This window comes from Homo sapiens, chromosome 1 (assembly GCF_000001405.40).
Source record: "Homo sapiens chromosome 1, GRCh38.p14 Primary Assembly".
In the NCBI taxonomy this organism is placed as follows: Eukaryota; Metazoa; Chordata; class Mammalia; order Primates; family Hominidae; genus Homo; species Homo sapiens.
Genome location: NC_000001.11, coordinates 46067918 through 46090863, shown reverse-complemented (window position 1 = coordinate 46090863; position 22946 = coordinate 46067918). Strand labels below are relative to the sequence as shown.

Sequence of the window (22946 nt, the reverse complement as noted above, 5' to 3'; positions counted from 1 at the left end):
ACTGTGGCTGATTTCAGTCTACTAGTGTGACTGACATACCAAATGCAGAATTTGAAAGAAATCCTCAGTAGCACACAGTATTTCCATTATATAAATACAATAGATGTTTCTTAAAAGCATAGTTAAATACAGTATTAATGAAGCAATGAGTTTTGAGTATTTTTAACTTTATTTTTAATATAATTTAATTGTGAACTTACATGGTTTAATATTTAATAATGACTGTGTGGAGGCTGGGCATGGTGGCTCACGCCTGTAATCCCAATACTTTGGGAGGCCAAGGCAGGTGGATCATGAGGTCAGGAGTTTGAGACCAGCCTGGCCAGTATGGTGAAACCCCCATCTCTACTAAAAATACAAAAAAACTAGCCGGGCATGGTGGCACACACCTGTAGTTCCAGCTACCCGGGAGGCTGAGGGAGGAGAATCGCCTGAACCTAGGAGGTGGAGGTTGCAGTGAGCCGAGATTGCGCCACCGCACTCCATCCTGAGCAATAGAGGGAGACTGTCTCAAAAAAATAAATAAATAAATAAATAAATAAATAAATAAAAAAGACTGCGTAGAACAGCAGTTTGCAAAATTCCTGAAAATACAACAATCAGCTCTCACTAGCCTGTACAAGTTGAATTCAACATAGCATGAAACTTAAGGTTCAGAGAGGTGAGATAATTTACCAAATCTAGTTTAAGTGGTGGAATCAGAATAAACTCTAGGTTTCTTTTTATTTTTATCTTAAAACAATATGGGTTTATAGTTTAAAAAGTCAAAAAGTACTACAAGGTTTATAGTACAAAATCATCAGTTGCCTGTCCTACCCTCTCTTCTGCCACTTTCTAGCCCCTAGGGGCAACACTTAACTCTTCCGGCCTTTTCTTCTGGTGTTTTACCTCCCTATTTTTTGTAATACGGTAATACTGCTATTTATAATTTTTCACTTTTTGATGTTATTTATTCCTTCTAAGGAAGATAGTGATTTACTTCTCTTATGCCATACACTCTTTCCTTCTATGCATTTTTCCAGTGTATTTATATCACAATTATAACTTTCTTAAATTATCTTCCAATATTTACACTATTATTACTGTACAGTGTTCACAGCTAAGCCATTAGTATACTATAATTGCATCCTTTCTTTTTTTTTTTTTTTTGAGATGGAGTCTCACTCTGTTGCCTAGGCTGGAGTGCAGTGGCGTGATCTCGGCTCACTGCAACCTCTGCCTCCCAGGTTCAAGCAATTCTCCGGTCTCAGCCTCCCGAGTCGCTGGAACTACAGGCACACACCACCACACTTGGCTAATTTTTTACATTTTTAGTAGAGATGGGGTTTCACTGTGTTAGCCAGGATGGTCTTGATCTCCTGACCTCGTGATCCGCCCACCTTGGCCTCCCAAAGTGCTGGGATTACAGGCGTGAGCCACCACACCTGGCCTCATTTCCTTTCTTTATATAAATTTAAAGACAGAATTTTATGGTTCTGACAGAGCCATATAACAGAACCATAAAATTCATCACAGTATGGTTAAACATCAAATAATTTACCATTTCCATTCTTTTCTTAAACATACCCTCTAAACTGCCCTTCATCCTCCTGTTTGAATTCTAACTTGTTTTCAGCTGTCATCCTAGTACTGCATTCAGCATTATGCTGGGCATTGCCATTGCTTCTCTCTTGTGTTGGCATCCATTTTCCTGCATTTTACACCGCCTGGTTTCCTAGTTTATTTCTTCATTTTGGTGGAGCACATCATTCAGGAGCTTCCTAAGAAAGGATGCTGAGAGATAAGTTGGTTGAGATCTTGTATATCTGAAAATATCTATTCTACCATCATATGTAATTGATAATTTGGCAGGATATATCATTCTAGCTTGAAAAATCATTTTCCCTCAGATTTGGAAGGTTTATCTTCAGTGTTGCTAGTCTCCAGTGTTGTTGAGCAACCCAAAGACATTCTTTAGTCCTTTGTGACCTTTTTTTTTTTTTTTCCCCTTGTGATAGATTTTAGGACCTTCTCTTTTCCCCCAGTGTTGTGAAATTCCACAGGGGTGTAGCTTGATATGGATCTTTTTCATTCATTGTGTGGCATACTCTGTGGGCATTTTCATTCAGGAAATGTGTGTCCTTCAGTTCTGAAAATTTTTTCTTATTTATTTTAATGTTTCTCTTCCTGCTTTCTGGAACTTCTATTAGTTTGATGCTGGATCTTCTGAGTTGATCCTCTGATTCTCTTATCTTTCTCCTATTTTTTCATTACTTTCTCTCTTTGTTCCACTTCCTGGGAGATTTCAGCTTTACCTGCCAGATTGTGAACAACTTAAAAATTTTTCTAGCATAATTTTAATATATAAGGGCTCTTGTTCTTTGAATGTTACTTTGATATAGATCTTGTTTGTCTTTCATAGATGCAGTCTTTCCTTTTATATATCTGAGATATTATGCTGTCTTTGTGTGTCTGTGAAGTTTTTTTTCCCTTTAATTCTCTGGTTACTCCCAAGTTTCTTCTTGTTTTGGTCACCTTTAATGTAATGGCTTTCCTCAAATGTCTGTTGTTTTTTTATTTTAAGTTGTGGTAAATATATGTAACATGTAATTTATCATTTTAACCATTTTATCTGTTTCTTTTAAAATATTTATTTATTTATTTTAGAGATGGGATCTTGCTCTGTTGCCCAGGCTGGTCTCAAACTCTTGGGCTCAAGCAATACTCCTGTCTTGGCCTCCCAGAATGTTGAGATCAGAGGCATGAGCCATCACACTCAGCTGTTTTTAACCATTTAAAAATGTTTAAATTCTGTGGCATTAAGTACATTCATACTGTTGTGCAACCATCACCACCATCCACCTCCAGAACTTTTTCATTTTCCCCAGTTGAAACTCTATACCCATTAAATACTAACTTCTATTCCATCCTTCCCTCAGCCCTTGGCCAACAGCATTCTACTTTCTGTCTCTACGGATTTGACACTTTAGTAGCCTCATGTAGGAAGAATCATAATACTTGTCTTTTTGTGACTGGCTTATTTCACTTAGCATAATATTTTCAATGTTCATCCATTTTGAAGCTCCATGTGAGTGGGCAGGAACTTGTTAACTGGAGGCCTTCACTGAGAAGTGATAAGGTGATGAATACCTGCCAGGTGCAGTGGCTCACACCTGTACTCCAGCACTTTGGGAGGCCAAGGCAGGAAGATCATTTGAGCCCAGGAATTCGAGACCACCCTTGGCAATATAGTGAGACCCTGTGTCTACCAAAAAAAAAAAAAAAAAAAAAAGATGAATATGTTTTTCATTGGGTAACCCTAGAATATCTGTATTTTTAGATGCTTTTTAGGGTCCTGTCAGTTTCTGTGGAAAAAATCTCCCAACTCCTGACTGGGGGTATATGCTTGACAGCTCATTGTTTAGGTAACCAGAAAGGGATAGGGGAATCTACCTGTTTGGTAAACTTTTCTTTAGTTATGCCGTTTTCAATATAGGGCTCACCCCTATTCTCAGCGAGCTTGGTGTTCCCTGAGTCCAGAGCCTTTCTTTTTTCTTTCTTTTTTTTTTTACATTCTAAAACACAGCACTGAGCATGCTGTATCTTTCTTTTTTTTATTATTATACTTTAAGTTCTAGAGTACATGTGCACAACGTGCAGTTTTGTTACATATGTATACATGTGCCATGTTGGTGTGCTGCACCCATCAACTTGTCATTTACATTAGGTATATCTCCTAATGCTATCCCTCCACCATTCCCCCACACACGACGGGCCCTGGTGTGTGATGTTCCCCACCCTGTGTCCAAGTATTCTCATTGTTCAGTTCCCACCTATGAGTGAGAACATGCAGTGTTTGGTTTTTCTGTCCTTGCGATAGTTCGCTCAGAATGATGGTTTATGTCCTTTGTAGGGACATGGATGAAGAGTCCAGAGCCTTTCTGATTGTTTCTCTGGACTGGTGAGTTGACAGGCAGCCTTTATCTAGGGTGGAGGATGGGTAGTTGCCTGGTTGCTTGGGCAGGTAGGGAGGAGAACTAAGGACTTAACTGCTCTTTCTATAGATTGTCAGCCAACTCTTCTGTTTCTGGCCACATGACTCAATCCTCCCTTCAGAGATGCATTGTGCTTCCAGTTCCTGGCCTTTCCAGAGTACAGTGGTGTGAATCAGATTGCTTTTTTTTTCTTAGACAGTCTCACTTTGTTGCCTAGGCTGGAGTGCAATGGCACGATCTCGGCTCACTGTAACCTCTGCCTCCCGGGGTCAAGCGAGTCTCCTGCCTCAGCCTTCCGAGTAGCTGGGATTACAGGTGCTTGCCACCACTCTCAGCTAATTTTTGTATTTTTAGTAGAGACAGGGTTTCACCGTGTTGGCCAGGCTGGTCTCAAACTCCTTACCTCAGGTGATCCACCTGCCTCGACCTCCCAAAGTTCAGGGATTACAAGTTGGAGTGCAGTGGCTATTCACATGTGCAATCATAGCACACTGTGGGTTCGAACTTCTGGCTTCAAGCAATCCTCCCATCTCAGCCTCCCGAGTAGCTGGGGGTATAGGTGCACACCACTGCACCTGGCACCATTTTTGTTGTTAAAACATATAAAGAAAACATATACAATATACATACATACCTACAGTGTTCTCTGCTGTTCCCCATCCCTATTGTATTCACTATTAACAGTTTGTGTACTCTTCATATGTTTCTATGCACACATATCTATATGCACACATACACACACTTAAAACATCTATATGTCTCTATGTTTCTTCATATAGCTACATATTAATTAAAACGGAATTGAAAATATCTTTCTGTATTGCTAATATTTTAAAACTTGTTAATATAGGCCAGGCGTGAGTGGCCCATGCATATAATCCCAGCACTTTGGGAGGCCAAGGCGGAAGGATTACTTGAGGCCAGGAGATCGAGACCAGCTTGGGCAACGTAATGAGACCCTGTCTCACAATTTTGAAAAAAACCCAAACTTGTAATATAGTTTCTAAAAATGGAAAGAGAAATATTTTTCATTGTCTACTAAATGGAAATAAAAGTGCTATATATTTTATGGATACTCATTTCAGAAGGTATTTGCTTAGGTGCACCTAACTTATCACTCAGCATTGCAGTGCTCACCTAATGCAAGAACTACTTTGTCAAGGAGTTGAAAAGATAACTAATGTATCCTAATCAGTTTTTCCCTCAAGATAGTCCTTTTGAACTACTTAAAAGCTTAATGATTTGGAATTATTTTACCTTTATTTATAATATCACAACCTGGAAGATAGATATAAATCTGCTTATCTTCATGCAATTAGGAGGTTATTAGGAGATAAATTTTTATTCACATTTGCCCAGTATATTCTACAATCTACATGGGAGGGTGGGGAGCAACTCTCAGAGAAGGTAAAACATTTAGATGGAAGATTCAGTTTAGTTTGATAGAGCTACATTTGAGTGTACTCACAATTTTAGGAACAATGAATTATCTTGAAATTTATCCTTTTGGATTATAAAGTCCATATGTATGGAGACTGTGTCTATCTAATCTAGTTCATTGTTATGTTCACAGCTTCTGGAACATGGGAGGTGTTCAATACATATTTGCCTATGTATGTGTGGAGTGATTATAGATAGTAGGAATGTAGAAATAGGCCAGTATTGCATTCAGTTCAGATCTTATGATTGTGTTCTTTTAGCAACTTTATGTAGCAACTGCCTTTATAATAATTTCATTCTTCTTACATTTCTGTAGTTGAGAACAGCAAGATACAAGGAGGCAGCCCTCTGTAATAGATGTGAAATGGTCATTACATGTTTGTTGGTGGTAGAGCTGTCTGTGAACTATCATTATCCATAAATAGCAGCTTCCTCATGCAGTCTGGTCAGCTCAACTCATCTCAATATAGAGCTCCTCCAGTGAAGGGATGTAGAAAAGTCTCCATAACACCGTTTGAAGGTGATTAGAGTGTAACCCACCTGCTGATACAATGAAGCACATTGGTTCTTGAGCCCTGTTGGTCATGTACTCAAATCACTAAGGACTAGATTTGAGAAGCTTAGTGTTTGACCTTAAAGTTTCCCTTTTGCTGGGTTTCTGTTACAATTTGCTTTTTACCCCATTCTGATGAGTATTATAGTTAGGTATTTCTATGTGTCATTCTCTCTGGATTTGTTCTTTTGAGTGCAGGGAACACCTTGTCTTTGTAACTTTTCATAGCTATAGTGCAGTGCTTTGTATAGCACAAGTTTACACTGTTAATTCTTGTGTTAAGTGGGTAAGTAGAAGAATTATAAATTTTGCTAAGTTATAGTTCAAACTGTAGCTACTTTTATAAGTCACATAAAATCCTTTTCAAACAAGATGGTTATTTAGCTACTTTGAAAAAAAGTATGGATTATAGCAAATCCACCCCCATCTGGTAATGTCAGAAGCCTGATATTTATTTATTTTAAAACAGCTTTATTGAGATATAATTCACATGCCATGCAGTTCACCCACATTGTATAACTCAGTGATTTTTAGTATCTTCACAGAGTTGTACAACCATCATGATAGCCAATTTTGGAATATTTTCATTACCCTGAAAGAAATCCTTTATACATTAGCAGTCACTCCCTATTTCCCACTTTACTCCCCAGCCCTAGCCAACCATTGATTTACTTTCCGTCTCTATAGATTTGCCTATTCTGGACAATGGGATTATATAATATTTGGCCTTTCATGACAGGCTTCTTTCACTCAGCAAAATGTTTTCAGATTCGTCCATGTTGTAACATATCAGTACCTCATTCCTTTCTATTGCTGAATAATCTATTGTATGGATATATACCTCATTTTATTTATCTATTCGTCTGTTGATAGATATTTGGGTTGTTTTCCATTTTTGGGCCATTATAAATAAAGCTACTATGAACATTCATGTGCAAGTTTTTGTGTAGATACATGCTTCTTTTTTCTTGGGTATATGTAAGAGTGAAATTGCTGGGCAACTCTGCATTTAACCTTTTGAGGAGGTTAGACTGTTTTCCAAGCAGCAGCATCATTTTACATTCCCACCAGCAGTCTATGAGTATTCCAATTTCTCTACATCCTCACCAACACTTGTTATTATCTGTCTTTTTTATTATAGTCATCCTAGTGGGTGTGAAGTGGTATTTCACTGTGGTTTTGATGTGCATTTCTCTGTTGGCTGATTATGTTCAGTATCTTTTCATGTGCTTATTGGCCACTTGTTTGTCTTTTGGAGAAATATATATTCAGATCCTTTCCCCATATTTAATTGGGTCATTTGTCTTTTATTGAATTGAAAGGATTCTTTTATGTATTTAGATACAAGTACAAAAATATATTTATAGATACATTTACAAATATTTACAAAAATATATTTTATCATTTCTACTTACAAAAACGTTCTCCCATGCTATAGGTTGTCTCTTCACTTTCTTGGTGATGTCCTTTGAAGTACAGAAGTTTTTAATTTTGATGCAGTTAATCTATTTTTTTCTTGTTTGTTATTTTCAGTGTCATATTTAAGAAACCATTACCTAATCTAAAGTCACAAAGATTTAAGCCTATTTTTTCTTGTAAGAATTTTATAGTTTTAGGTCTTGATATTTAGGTCTTTGATCAATTTTTAGTTAATTTTGGTGTGAGGCAGGGATCCAACTTCATTCTTTTTGCATGTGGATATCTGCTTGTTCCAGAACAATTTGTTAAAAAGAATATTCTTTCCCTCATTGAATTATTTTGACATCCATGTTGAAAATCAGTTGACTAAGGGACTTTATTTCTTTATTTGTTTATTTTTGAGACAAAATCTCACTCTGTCTCCAGGCTGGAGTGCAGTGGTGCAATCTCGGCTCACTGCAACCTCTGCCTCCCGGGTTCTAGCAATTCTCCTGCTTCAGCCTCCCGAGTAGCTGGGATTACAGGTGTGCACCACCACGCCCAGCTAATATTTGTATTTTTAGTAGAGATGGGGTTTAATCATGTTGGCCAGGCTGGTCTCAAACTCCTGACCTCGAACTCCTGACCTCAGCTGATCTGTCCGCCTCCACCTCTCAAAGTGCTGGGATTACAGGTGTGAGCCACCGTACCCGGCCAACTAAGGGACTTCTCTTTGGGGGGAAATATTCACATTGTTCTCCTTCCCCCCAAGATTGCTTACAATTTTTTGGTTAAATTAAGAAAAAAGAAACAATCTCAAAAAAGTTACAAGTACAGTTCAAAGAACATAATTTTTTTGAATCATTTGAAAGTAGATTGTCAACGTGATGCCATATGATGACCATGTTGTGTGTATTTCCCACAAACAAGAACATTTTCCTACAGAAGCACAATATAACCATCAAAATCAGAAAACTAACACTGCTGTACTACTACTATGTCATACTCAGATCCCATTCAAGTTTTGCCCATTGTCGCAGTGTTGTCCTTAATAGCAAAAAATATCCAGTCCAGAATTACACATTGCATTTAATTGTCAGGATTCTTTAGTCTTCTTCAATCTGAAACATTTCCTCAGTCTTTCCTTGACCCTCATGACCTGTACATTGTTGAAGATTACAGGTAAGTTATTTTGTAGAATACCCCTCAATCATGGTTTGTCTGATGTTTCTTTATGATTAGATTCAGTTTATACATATTTGGCAGGAATGTCACAGAAGTGATGTTACATCCTTTTTAGTGTATTGTATTGGGGCCCACAGTTTTGCCATTATTTCTAATATTAACCTTGATTCTTGATTAAGGTGGTATTTGCCAGGCTTTTTCACTATTATTGTTTTTCCTTTTGCAGTTAGGATTTTGTGGGACAGTATATTGAGATAACAGTAATCTTGGTCCTCATCGATCTTTGTTTCTTTTATTTATTTATTTATTTATTTATATCTGCATGAACACATATATTCCTATTTTGTTTAATGAGTTATATTTCTTTACTATTATTATTTGTATTGATATGCCAGCTGTTCCAGATTTGGTCAGTGAGAGCCCCTTCCAGTTCGCTGTTTTGTTCTTTTAACATAGCCTCTCCCATTCTTTGAGCACTTCCTTCCTTTTTGGCACATGATGATGTTCAGGCTCATTTGGTACTTGCTCTATTCTGTCCCTGGAATCAGCAATTTCTTCAAAGAGCCCTGGTTCCTTTTAGTAGAGAATGGTATTAGAAAGCAAGGTCTAGGTGCTCAGTGTACATATTGGGGTGTTGTTGCCCCCAGGACCTCTCAGGGCAGCAGTCCCCAACCTTTCTGGCACCAGGGACCAGTTTCATTGCTGGGGTGGGGTTAGGCTGGGGGTATTGGTTTCAGGATGAAACTATACCACCTCAGATCATCAGGCATTAGTTAGATTTTCATAAGGATCACACAACCTCGATCCCTCACATGTGCAGTTCACAGTAGGGTTTGTGCTTCTATGAGAATCTAATGCCGAAGCTCAGGCAGTAATGTTCACTTGCCCACTGCTCACTTCCTGCTGTGTGGCGCTTTTCCTAACAGGCCGTGGACCAGTGCCAGTCCGCAGCCCGGGGGTTAGGGAATCTCTGTCTCGGGACAGAGCTAGGGAATATATGTATTCTGTGTATAGACATTTACATATTTATGTTTATATACATTGAAATTCATGAGTTGATATCTGTAGCTCTAATTCTAGTCCAAGACAAGGGGGTTCATTCTATTACAGTTGAGCAAATTATTAATAACATAACCATCATTTCATAGTTACCCTTTTTTTTGGTAGTAAGAATACCTAAAATTTACTCACTTGGCAGATTACCAGTATATAATACAATGTTATTAACTATAATCCTCATGTTGTACATTGGTCACTTAGTGGCTTTTGGACTGAGTTGTTTGGAAAAGGGGTTGCATGTTGTCTTTTGAGAGATGTGAATGAAGTTTTACAGACTTAGAAGTCAATGTTTCATAAGAAGGAAAAAAACAAATATCTTGACGTTTTCACTTTTTAGGCAATCAAAAGGATTCCTTCTGTTGCTAACATTTAACATAAAATAATACTCAATTTGATTGATAATTATTAGAATCTTAACATACCTTGGTTAGTGAGCTGCTCCTGAGGAAATTAGAAAACAGTAAATAATTTACATCTACAGAGTAATATTCATTTCTCTTCTAGCTCTTCCACCAAAGCCACCTAAGCCAATGACTTCAGCAGTTCCAAATGGAATGAAGGACAGTTCTGTTTCTCTTCAGGATGCAGAATGGTACTGGGGGGATATTTCAAGGTAACTAGAATGCTACTGTAATTGAATGCAGTTTTTTAAAAAGTCATTTTTGAGAATTAGTAGTTAAAGTAAACCATTTTAAGCTGGGCATGGTGGCTCATGCCTATAATCCCAGCAACTCAGGAGGCTGAGGCTGAAGAATCACATGATACCAGGAGTTCGAGGCTGTAGAGAGCACTCTGTTGCACTCCAGCCTGGGCAACAGAGTAAGACCCCCAACTCTCAAAAAAAAAGAGCATTGTAATGCTCTACTAATTGTTATTTAAAGATTACCATTTAAGGCCGGGTGCAGTGGCTCACACCTGTAAGCCATGCACTTTGGGAGGCTGAGGTGGGTGGATTGCCCGAGCTCAGGAGTTTGAGACCAGCCTGGGCAACACAGTGAAACCCTGTCTCTACTAAAATACAAAAAATTAGCTGGGCATGTTGGCATGCGCCTGTAATCCCAGCTACTTGGGAGGCTGAGGCAGGAGAATTGCTACAACCTGGGAGGCGGAGGTTGCAGTGAGCCGAGATAGTGCCACTGCACTCCAGCCTGGGCGACAGAGTGAGACTCTGTCTCTTAAAAAAAAAAAAAGAAAAGAAAAAGCTCACTTAAAAAATTTTGCATGGGAACGCTTCATTAGTGTCTTAATACTTTTCTTCCCATGAAAAAGTGACAAGAAAATCTTCATTATTTATTTGTTTTGAGATGGAGTCTCACTCTGTTGCCCAGGCTGGAGTGCAGTGGCATGATCTCAGCTTACTGCAACCTCCGCCTCTTGGGTTCAAGCGATTCTCCTGCCTCAGCCTCCCAAGTAGCTGGGATTACAGTCATGCATCACCATACCCTGCTAGTTTTTGTATTTTTAGTAGAGACAGGGTTTCACCATGTTGGCTAGGCTGGTCTCGAACTCCTGACCTCAGGTGATCCACCTACCTTGGCCTCCCAAAGTGCTGGGATTACAGGTGTAAGCCACTGCACCTGGCTGAAAATCTTTAAATTATGGGTGTGATTATTACTTCTAATACTATATTGAGGATGGATTTCTAAATAAGTGACATGTAGACATTTAGGATAGTTACATGTGTTTTAGAATTAAAAATATTTGTGGGTACTTAACATTTCTGTACCTTTCTTTCTCTTAAGCCAGTGGTTCCAAAGTCTTTGCATGCACAAAAATCAATTGAGGTGGAGCCCAGGAATCTGCATTTAATAGATTCCCTGGGTGAATTTGATGCAGTCTCTTTACACACCCCAGTTTGATAAACAGGACTCTAGGACAGATTTGTTTTCTGGGTAAAGTGTAGTTTTAGGTAATTTTGAACCTAAAGAGGGAATTATATACATTTAATTTGAATATTGTATTTTCTTACTAAATTTTTTTCTTGTTAAACTTGCTTTAGTGGGTCTCAGATGTATTTTCTTTTTAAAGCCCTATCCATTTCTGTCAAATCAGTTTCCAGGTTGATGCTGTATTCCTCAGAACACTTACCTATCCCTTTCTCTTCTCTGTTCTCTTCCTCTACCAAAATGGTATTTATTTAATTTTTTTTTACCCTTACGATTTCAACTATTTTAAGAGTACATTTGCATTGTTGTGCAGCTATCATCACCATCCATCTCCAGAACTTTTTCATTTTCCCTAACAGAAATTCTGTACCCATTAAACAATAACCCCCCATTCTCCCCTCCCTCAGCTCATGGCAACCACCATTCTGCTTTCTGTCTTATGAATTCAATTGTAGGTACTTTGCATAAGTGTAATCATATAATAATTGTACTTTTGTGACTGGCTTATTTCACTTTCTTCATACGTCTTCAAGGTTCATTCATGTTGTAGCATGTGTCAGAATTTCATTCCTTCTTAAGGCTAATATATGTATATGTTATATATTTTTTTAATCCATTCATCTGGACATTTAGATTGTTTCTAATTTATGGCTGTTGTAAATAATGCTGCAATTAATATTGGTGCACACATATCTGAGTCCCTGCTTTCAGTTATTTTGGGTATATACCCAGTAGTGGAATGGAATTGCCAGGTCATATGGTAGGTAATTCTGTGTTTAACTTTTTGAAGAGGACTTAATATGTTTTATTAAAAAAATTTTTTTTTTGAGATAGAGTCTCGTTCAGTCCCCCAGGCTGGCGTGCAGTGGTGCAGTCTCAGCCCACTGCAACCTCCGCCTCCCAGGTTCAAGTGATTCCCCTGTCTCAGCCTCCCAAGTAGCTGGGATTACAGGCGCTTGCCCTGCCACCACGTCCGGCTAATTTTGTATTTTTAGTAGAGACAGGGTTTCATCATGTTGGCCAGGTTGGTCTCGAACCCGTGACCTCAAGTGACCTCTCTGCTTCAGCCTCCTAAAGTGCTGGGATTATAGGCGTGAGCCACTGCACCCAGCCATTTTATTTTAAAATTGGTTAGAATATTTCTATTTTAATATTGTACAATAAAAGTCTTTTTTTAAATTTTAAGATCATGTGGTTCTGATATGATTCAAGGGTCTTTTATGCCCTGCCATTTCCTTTAAGTGTTCTAGTGTTGTGCCTTAAAGTCCTAAATCAACTCTACAGAAGGAATTTGTTATCGGGACAAATTCAAACTAGGAGACTATCCTATTGAAAGGTTATGAACTTAGTGAATTTTCCCCCTTCTGTTCAGAAACAGCTGCCACTGTTGCTTAAATATAACCTTCTTTCTAAACAGCCACTGTTTTTTTCCTGAAACTTTACAAGTTCAGACCTGCCTAAGGAAACCCTTAAAGGCTTGATGGAAACAGTATCTCTTACACACATTTGAAATCTGGAAGAGTTTAAAAATCAAATAGCTCTTCTGTAGATTGCGTAACACCAAAAATCAAAACAGAAAGAGCATATTTAATGCAGGGAAGAACTAAATGACCTCTAAATGGCTCCGTTATTCTATAACCTCAGGCACACCTACTGCCGAAGCTGCCTTAGTAGTAACATGTAAAGAAGGCACACCTACTGCCGAAGCCACCAGTGTTGACATTTTTTCATTTTTCTTATAATTCTGTTCTTCAGGGAGGAGGTAAATGACAAATTGCGGGATATGCCAGATGGGACCTTCTTGGTCCGAGATGCCTCAACAAAAATGCAGGGAGATTATACTTTGACTTTGCGGTAAGTACTTTTCAGTCTTTTGGCTAGTTCTCTACTGATGTTATTTTAGTTCTGGGTATACAGATATTTCTGTATTTAAATCTTTATCTATACAATTTTTCATATTTTCATTTAATTTATGTACATAATTTCCAGTCTGGCTAATTCTTTTTTCTATACATTAAGTATTTAAACATTTTGTATAAAAATGGCAACTTAAAAAAATGTAGAAAGAAAATGAAAAGGTTAAAATCCCAAAATGTAAGGGAGTAGGAAGCATACTGTTGACCTTATAAAGGAAGTAGAAGTCATGGGCATATTCTAAGGGTAAAAATGAATCTATCCTTTGAATAACCCTATTATCTTCCTTAATGCAGACTTTAGAAAGCAGAACTCAACATAATTTTGGTTGATGAGGATATGCTGAAGATAAAGCAGTTCCTAGCGTATATCATGCTTTTCATATGGGCATATTTAGAGTCTTTTAAGTGATGGATATATGATTTTTTAATATTTGCACATATTTTTAAAAGGTTAAGAAAACTGCATGAGAAATTTCCACATTTAATTTTAATAATTAAAGTAGCCCAGTTACAATAAAGCCTTATGATTTTTTTTAAAAAGGAAATATTTAACAAAAAGAAAATAACAGTAACAATAACAATGACTAACTTTCTTGTACTAAGGCCTTTACATGCAATAGATCATTTATTCTTCACAACAACCTTATGAGGTAGGTATTATTACTATTCCCATTTTATAGATGAGGTAACTAAGGGTTAACATGGTTAAGGAACTTGCCTAAAGTCACATAGTTAGAAAGTGGTAGAGGAAGAGTTTAAATCCAGATTCATCTGGCTGTTTGCTGCCTTTCCAGCCTAATATCTTTAGGAAAAATAATGCCTCATTTTATGCTAGTATGGCATAAATTTGGAGGCACTATTTTAGTTTCTGGTAAAGAGCTAAAGAAATTAATACCTTTGCACTTGAATTGTGCTGACTAATCAGTGTTCTACAGTAATTCATTGAACACAATTTTTCCTCTACTCCACTCAGGCTTCTGTCTCCACCACTCCACGGAGACTGCTAAACACTTTTCTCTTCTTACCTTACTTGACCTCTTAGCAGCATTGGTCATAGACACTTCTTCTTAGAAGCAGTTTATTGTTTTGGCTGTTAAGACGTCACACTTTCCTGATTTTCTTCCTAACTTTAAGCTATTTTGCTCAATATCTAAATTTTAAGTGTTCCAGGGCTTGGGACCTGGGCCTCTTTTTCTTCTCTGTATTCATTCTCTTAAGGTGAGCTTGTCCTGTCCCATGGCCTTAATATATGTGATGATTAATTTAAGTGTCAATTTGGCTGGATTACCTAGAGAACTGGTAAAGCATTATTTTGGATGTGTCTGTGAGGGTGTTTCCAGAGCAGATTAGCATTTGAGTCAGTGGACTGAGTAAGGAAGATCGCCCCTCAGTGTGAGCACCATCCAATTGGCTGAGGATAGAACAAAAAGAAAGAAAAAAATTTTATCTCTCTGTCTTGGAGCTGGAGCACACTCTTATTCTGTCCTTGGAAATCAGAACTCCAGCCTTTGGACTCCAGGACTTATACCAATCCTCCTCACCCCCTATGGGTTCTCAAGGCCTTCAGTCTTGGACTGAGAGTTATACCATTGGCTTCCTGGGTTCTGAGGCTTTAGGAATTGGACTGAGCCACACTACTGGCATGCCAGCTTGCAGATGGCCTGTAATGGGACTTCTCAGCCTCCATAAACATGTGAGCCAATTCCCCTGATAAATCCCCTCATATTTATCTTTGTCTCTCTCCTATTGGTTCTGTCTCTCTGGAGAACTCTGATTAACACAGATTTGGTACCAGGAATGATTCTAGAGGAAGGTAATTTTTTTTTTTTTTAACACAGGTTATTGCTCTGTCTCCTAGGCTGGAGTGCAGTGGCATGGTCATGGCTCACTGCAACCTTAACCTCCCAGGCCTAAGTGATCCTCCTACCTCAGCCTCCTGGGTAGCTGGGACCAAAGGCGCATGCCACCACACCCAGCTAGTTTTTGTGTTTTTTATTTTTTGTAGAGATGGAGTCTCCCTGTGTTGCCCAGGCTGGTCTCAAAACTCCTGGGCTCAAGCAGTCCTCCTGCCTCGACCTTCCAGTGCTGGGATTACAGGCGTGAGCCACTGTGCCCAGCCTGAGGAAGAGAATTTTAAGGATGAGTTTCCTTAATTAATTTTGGGGTTCCCGGAATTGGCTCTCTTAATTTGATGAGACTTAAAAATGCTAAGGACCCTACTTCTAATAGTACAGAGAGCACTGACAGTCCATGCTGTGAACTGTTTATATAGCGATATGCTAAATATCTGCATTTGATACTTCTAATTTACCACCTATAAGAGGCAAGGAACTTGGCAACCCTGTATTTGATACTGTCAAACGTTTGTAGAAAACCAAGGTTTTCTAATATTGCTGGACGAAGTGATGAAAGAAAAGGGTGAGCTCAGGGTTTTGATTTCCTGGCCCCAGCTCTGCCATAAATAGCCCAAGAGCTTCTAAATATGCCCTAAGTCAGAATCTTCTCTTCTGTTGCCAAAGGTCTGAAATTGCACAAAATCAAACACATACTCTCATCATGTGATTAGCTGAATTACAATCAAAGGTGAAATATCAGCCTTGTAAGGTATCTGCTGTTAAAATGAGGGCATTGGTTGGGAAAGATGGAATTCTATACGTTTGGATGGGGATGTGTGGGAAGACCCTGATGAGGCTGGGGACGTTGAGCTCCTAAATTCTGATGAGTCTTGTTTGCCAGCAGAAATGGCCTCCCACCCCCAGTAACAGCATCCCCCCTACACTGGCCTTTCCACCTTTGTCTGAGGGGATTGACTCTGCATTGCCTGAGGAAACCATAATGGCCTTCCTCTAGGCAGCTGCTAAGCCAGAGGATGCTGAGTCTTCTCAGGACCCACCCCCACCACACCTCTTTGCTTCTAGACCTATAGCTAGACTTGAGTCCCAGCAGCCCCTAAAGATGAGGTACAAAGTTTTACTCATGAGGAGATGTGCTACATGGTAAAAAAGCTACTTGAGGTTTCTAATTTATACAAGGAGAAATCTGGAAAATATGTATGGGAATAGATATTTAGGGTGTATTTAGGGTGTGAGATAATGGTGGAAGGAACATAAAGTTGAGTCAGGCTGAATTTATTGGTTTTTTTTTTTTTTTTTTTTTTTTTTTTTTTGACGGAGTCTAGCTCTGTCGCCCAGGCTGGAGTGCAGTGGCTGATCTTGGCTCACTGCAAGCTCCGCCTCCCAGGTTCCCACCATTCTCCTGCCTCAGCCTGCTGAGTAGCTGGGACTACAGGCGCCCGCCACCACGCCCAGCTAATTTTTTATATTTTTAGTAGAGGCGGGGTTTCACCTGTGTTAGCCAGGATGATCTCGATCTCCTGACCTCGTGATCCGCCCGCCTCGGCCTCCCAAAGTGCTGGGATTACAGGCATGAGCCACCGCGCCCAGCTGAATTTGTTTTTGGCCCACCAAACACATTCTGCATTTAATATTGTGGCTCAGGGAGTTAGAAAAGGCAACAGTTGGCCGGTCATGGTGGCTCACTCCTGTAATCCCAGCACTTTGGGAGGCCAAGGCAGGCGGATCATGAGATCAGGAGTTAGAGACTAGCCTGGCCAACATGGTGAAACCCCGTCTCTACTAAAAATACTAAAAAAAAAAAAAAAAAAAATTAACTGAATGTGGTGGCATGCGCCTATGGTCCCAGCTACTTGGGAGGCTGAGGCAGAGGAATCGCTTGAACCTGGGAGGTGGAGGTTGCAGTGAGCCAAGATCGCGCCACTGCACTCCGGCCTGGGTGACAGAGCAAGACTCCATCTCAAAGAAAAAAGAAAGGCAACGGTTTATTTGGTTAGTTGGCTGAAACATGGATGAAAAGATGGCCTACTGTGAGCCAGCTGGAAGTGTCTGATCTACCTTGGTTAACACAGAGGAAGAGATTCAAAGGCTTAGGCAGGAGACTGGGTTGCTACAGTGGATTTGTCACTTAAAATCTACTTATTTACACTGGGTGAGTCCAGATCACATACTTTTCAGCAGTACTTTGAGAAACAGATTTGTGAGGAGAACCCCATCATCCCTAAATGCCATGATTGCCCTTCTCTGTAGGCCGGACCTTAAAATGGAAACTGCAGTCACTCAATTGAAAAATTTAAATGCAATGGGAATAACTGGATTCCAGGGTAGCAGAGGCCAAGTGAAGGGACTCATTTGACAAAGGCAAGGTGGACATGGTTATCATAACAGACAGCAGAAGCAAAGCAACAGTCAGAATAGTCTGACTCATGTAGACCTGTGGCATTGACTAATTCACTGTATGGGCAGCTCACTGTCTATTTTCTTCTCCCTTCCCACCTAGTCTGTCTTGGCCTACTACAATTTAAATTATCTGAGGTTGGGGATTTTGTTTAATGATTGCTGTATCTCCAGTGTCTAGATTAGTGCCTGATACTGGGTAAGCATTAGAGAATGGATGCCTAATATATATATATATATATATTTATTTATATTTGTATTTTTGAGACAGGGTCTCTCTCTGTCACTCAGGCTAGAGTACAGTGATGTGATCATAGCTCACTGAAGCCTTGAGGCTCCTGCCTCAGCCTCCCGAGTGGCTGAGACTACAGGGGTGTGCCACCATGCCTGGTGGCTAATTTTGTAAAAATTTCTTTGTAGAGATGAGGTCTCACTATGTTGCCCAGGCTGGTCTCACGCTAAGGGTCTCAAGTGATCCTCCCACCTTGGCCTCCCCAGTCCTGGGATTACAGGCATGAGCCACCATGCCCAGCTTATAAATACTTATTTAATAGATGAATATGCTTCTTATTTATCTGGAAAATGGTTTTAATCCCACACTAAGTTGTGGAATTTCATTCCTTTTAAGGCTGAATAATAGTCTGCTATATGTATATACTACATTTTGTTTATCCATTTATCACTTGATAGCATTAGCAAGAATGTTTGAAAGTTTTCATGTATCTATCACAAGGTCTGACATACAGTAGGTGTTTGATAGGTGTTGAGTAAATGTTTGAATGAAAGAATTAATGAGAGAAAGACAGAGAGAAAGTTTCTCGCAGGAAATGACAGTTGAGCTAGGCCTTGATAGATTTTTGCAAGGCAGAAGAGTGATGATCTTAATTCAATTTAATAAATAGTTGCAACTTAGTGCTAATTACTCTGCAGGGTATCTAACAATGAGTTAAAACTTTTGTCTCTGGGAATGTATAATCTAGTGAGGACAAAGGGAATGAGAAAATGGCTTTGAGTGAAAGTTTAATAGCAGGAGAGTTTCACAAAATATGCTTTGGTGACTGAAAGGAGGAAAAGAGATATCTTTGTTAAGAGAATGTAGAAAACTGACCTTCACAGAAGAGATTACATTTGCAGAATATCTTGAAGGGGATAGGTTTGGACATGTAGAAAGTGGGAGGGGAGTAGCAGGAATAGATAACAATAGGAGCAAATATACGGAGGTGAGATTTTATAGCTGCTTTCTGTGAGATGTAGTCCTGTTTGGCTAAAAGATAAAGTTTGTGAAGAAGAAGTGGTAGGGGATAGGAGGTAGGAAAGGGGTCATGTTTAAGAGGGCCTTGAATTCCAAAACTTGGGAGTTTGTATTTAATGTATTTAATGTTGTAGGTAGGTGGGGAGAACCACTGCATTTTTTCGGCAGGGAAATTGTGATCAGGCGCGCGCTCTCTCTCTCTCTCTCTCTCTCTCTCTCTATATATATATATATATATTTTTTTTTTTTTTTTTGGAGACAGAGTCTTGCTCTGTTGCTCAGGCTAGAGTGTAATGGCGCGCAATCTTGGCTCATTGCAACCTCCGCCTCCCAGGTTCAAGTGATTCTCCTGCCTCAGCCTCCTGAGTCTGGGATTACAGTCGTGTGCCACCACGCCCAGCTAATTTTTGTATTTTTGGTAGAGGCAGGGTTTCACCATGTTGGCCAGGTTGGTCTTGAACTCCTGACCTCAGGTGATCTGCCCGCCTCGGCCTCCCAAAATGCTGGGATTATAGGCGTGAGCTACCGCGGGGATAGATGTTGACTTCTAGCTGCTCCAGAACCGCAAGGTAAAAATGTATCTAGGATATAGCTAGAAATTTAGGTTTAATGCTTAGGAGAGAGTACAGGACCAGAGAAAGAGTCAAGCTACCATATGCATAAATGGGATTTTTATGGAAAAAAATATATAAAATTTAAAAGGTGGAGGCTGAAGGCAAAATTTTTTTTTAGGGAATAACTAGGGTTGGAGGAGACAGGAAGAGTGGTTTGAGAGGTTGAAAGAAAATAATAATTTCATCAAAGTTATGGAAGGATGAAATATTAAGAAGGGAGAGAGTGAGGGAGAAGGAGGGCCTGGGATAAAGGAAGGGGACAGAGTCTGAATTTGTTCAAAGTCATTGGTGACTCTTAAATGAGAGGAATGAGAGTAAAACCAGACTGCAGAGAGTAGTAGGTAGTGAAGAAATAGAGATTTTTCAGTTCAATAGCTCTTATTTTTTAAATTGGTAAATAGTATTTGTTGTAGAAAATCTGGATACTTAACAAATCTTTAAGAATCTGCTATCTGCCAGGCATTGGACTAGGTGCTGAGATACAAGGAGGACTAGCATGACCTTCAGTTCCTTTCCTTCTCTCATCTCTGCTTAGAGTCCATGTACATTATTATTAAAATTACCCATGTGAATATATCCTTAACAAACTTGCTCCTCTCTTCCTCCAGTGTAGTCACCAGACTAAATTCCAACACGGTATTAAATTCAGTTCTCCACTTAGTCCTTCCCTATACTTGAGCTGCTGAATGTGGAGAAGGGGACGTGACCACATGGACTGGTTTCACATTAATTATGACCACTAACCTTAAGTGACCTTTAAAACTGCCCAGCTTAACTTCTGCATTTCCACAATGCATTCATCCTGCTTCCTCGTCAGTTTCGTAAATGACAATTTCACATGTTCTTTTTTTCTCTTTTAAAGGACAGCCTTTCTTCCCACTTTTAACTATAGAACTTGCTTTTAATTTCACTGATATATGGACACAGTCAGACGAGAACTCCTTCATGCTCCTATTACCACAGCTATCAACATATTTACACATTAATGTGAATAGTCTGCCGCTTTTCTGTTCCAGTGGATGACTGTTCATGTCCTTGTCCAGGGTCTGCTTCTCTGTTTGTAGACTGGATCCCATCCCATCCCTCTAATCTACTCAAGGACATCACTCTAGGAATAATCTTGTCCTCTTTGTTGGATCAACAATTTTTGTCTATTGAGTCATTCCCATCAGCATATAAATATACTCTATTATCTCCCATTTAAGAATAGTAAATAATTGACCCTATATCTCTTTCTAGATACTTCCCTATTTCTCTGCCCTTATTTATAGCAGTGTTCCTCGAGACACTTGTCTATGGGCATTTCTATCTTCTTTCATTTTCTTGAATCCATTCCAGTCAGGGTTCTATCCTTACCATTTCACTGAAACCATTTAGTCAGTTCATTTAGTGCTATCTACTTTGCCAAACCTAATTATCATTGGACTTGGTTGATAATTTCCTCTTTGTTGAAGTGCTTTTGTACGTATTGGTTTTTAGGATATCACACTCTTAGTTCTCCTCTCACTTCATTAATTGCTCCCTTTTGGTTTCCTTTGCTGATTCTTCCTTCCATGTCTCTGACCACCAAACATTGGCATACCCCAGTGCTTAGGCCTTGGACCTCTTTTTCTGTCCAGCTATGCTCACCATCAAATAACATACATCGGCTGGTAACTCCTGAATTTCTATCTTTAGCCCAGACCTTTCTCCTGAACTTTAGATTCTTTAAGTAGCCTGCTGGATCATCTGCTTTTGAATGTTTAGGAGGCATCTCAAACTTAAAGTGTCTAAAACCAAACTTTTTCCCCCTTTAAACATATTCTTTTTTTTTTTTTTGAGATGGCATCTTACTCTGTACCCCTGGCTGGAGTGCAGTGGCGTGATCTCGGCTCACTGCAACCTCTGCCTCCTGGATTCAAGCAATTCTTCTGCCTCAGGCTCCTGAATAGCTGGGATTACAGGTGCCCTCCACCACGCCAGGCTAATTTTTGTATTTTAGTAGAGACGGGGTTTCACTACATTGGTCAGGCTGGTCTCGAACTCCTGATTTCAAGTGATCTGCCTGCCTTGGCCTCCCAAAGTGCTGGGATTACAGGCGTGAGCCACCGTGCCTGGTCTAAACACATTCTTTTTAAATAGCCTTCTTCATGTCAATAAATGACAATTCCATTCTTCTGATTGCTTATGACAAAAACCTTGAAATCATCTTTATCTTGTCTCTCTGTCATATTTGTATCCAAGCCATCAGCAAATCCTGTCAGCTCTATCTTCAAAATATGTTAAGAATCTCACTATTTCTCATGACCTCTACTACTGCTACCCTCATCCAAGACACCATCATGCCTTGCCTAGATTATTATAAAAGTTTCACAAGTGATCTTTCCACTTCTACTGCTGCCTCCTTTGAACAGTCTTTTCTCAACTCAGCAGCTAGAGTGAATCTTTTAAGCCACAAGATAGATTATATGATTCTACTGAAAACCTTTTTGTGCCTCCCCTTCTCACTCAGTAAAAGCTAAAGCCCTTACAGTAACCTACAGACTGTTATTACATAATCTAAGCTCCTTTTACATGTCTTACCTAGTCTCCTATTACTCTCCCTTTTGGTCATTCAGGCCCAGCATCACTGGCCTTCTTGCTGTTCCTCGAACATGCCAAGCATGCCCTTACCGCACCTCTCTCTAGGAAACTTCCCGTACATATCTGCTGTACTAGCTCCCTCACTTCACTTAGAACTCTGTTCAAATGTCACCTGAACAGAGAGGTTTTCCTTGAGCAGTACAAACAATTCCTCCATCACAAGAACTCCTTTCCCTTTACTCTGCTTTATTTTTTTTCCCAACAGACTTATTACTATTTGGTATATTTAGTTGTTTATTTTTGTGTTCTATCTTGAGAAGTTTGTTATCTTCCTTAATAAACTGAAAGACAGAGATATGTTCCTTATGCTGTTAAACTGGAAGCTCCATGAGAGCATGGACTGTGTCTGGCTTGTTTATCATATATCTGTAGTGCATTGTGTAATTCCTGGCACATAGATATTCAGCACATAATTTTAAATGAATGAATGTCTTTTAACTTTAACAGAGAGGCCAGCTTGCAATTATTGTATGTGTGAGTGTACACATTTATAGTAACTGTATATGATTAGATGGTCCTTCTCATGTATATTTAATAGAAATAATTTATCATCCATCTAAAAACTGACCTAAACATTGTTTAAATCAGCTTATAGGGTCAATCTTACTGTGTTTGACCTTTTACAAAAAGGTCATTTATATAAAATGGTCATTTATGTAAATGCTATTTATATAAAATGGCATGGCATAAAGAGAGTTAGGGGCATAAGCCTGCGTGCTGCTGTAAGAATGGTTGAATGGGAATGGTACAGCATTTTGCTATGAATCAACCTGCTGTGGTTTTAGATTATGCCTTAT

At 39.2% G+C, this 22946-nt stretch overlaps 2 protein-coding genes across 13 annotated transcripts in view; both read left to right on the top strand.

The window, feature by feature from the left end:
• P3R3URF-PIK3R3 (P3R3URF-PIK3R3 readthrough) overlaps positions 1–22946 on the top strand; it is a 136349-nt gene that overhangs the window by 85625 nt on the left and 27778 nt on the right. The window contains exons 2-3 of the mRNA NM_001303427.2: positions 10114–10222; positions 13251–13349. Coding sequence (NP_001290356.1) covers positions 10114–10222; positions 13251–13349 — 208 coding nt within the window. The remainder of the gene's footprint in view (positions 1–10113; positions 10223–13250; positions 13350–22946) is intronic.
• Positions 1–22946, top strand: part of PIK3R3 (phosphoinositide-3-kinase regulatory subunit 3) — a 134762-nt gene that overhangs the window by 84038 nt on the left and 27778 nt on the right. For 10 of the 12 annotated variants that reach the window (NR_137329.2, NM_001328648.1, NM_001328649.1 and 7 more), the window contains 2 exons: positions 10114–10222; positions 13251–13349. The exons of 1 other annotated variant lie outside the window; for it this stretch is intronic. Coding sequence is in view for 10 of the 11 variants with exons in the window: in NM_001114172.1 (NP_001107644.1) it covers positions 10114–10222; positions 13251–13349 (208 nt within the window). In the remaining variant the exon portion in view is untranslated. The remainder of the gene's footprint in view (positions 1–10113; positions 10223–13250; positions 13350–22946) is intronic. One more of the 12 variants, NM_001328653.2, reaches the window with a different exon arrangement.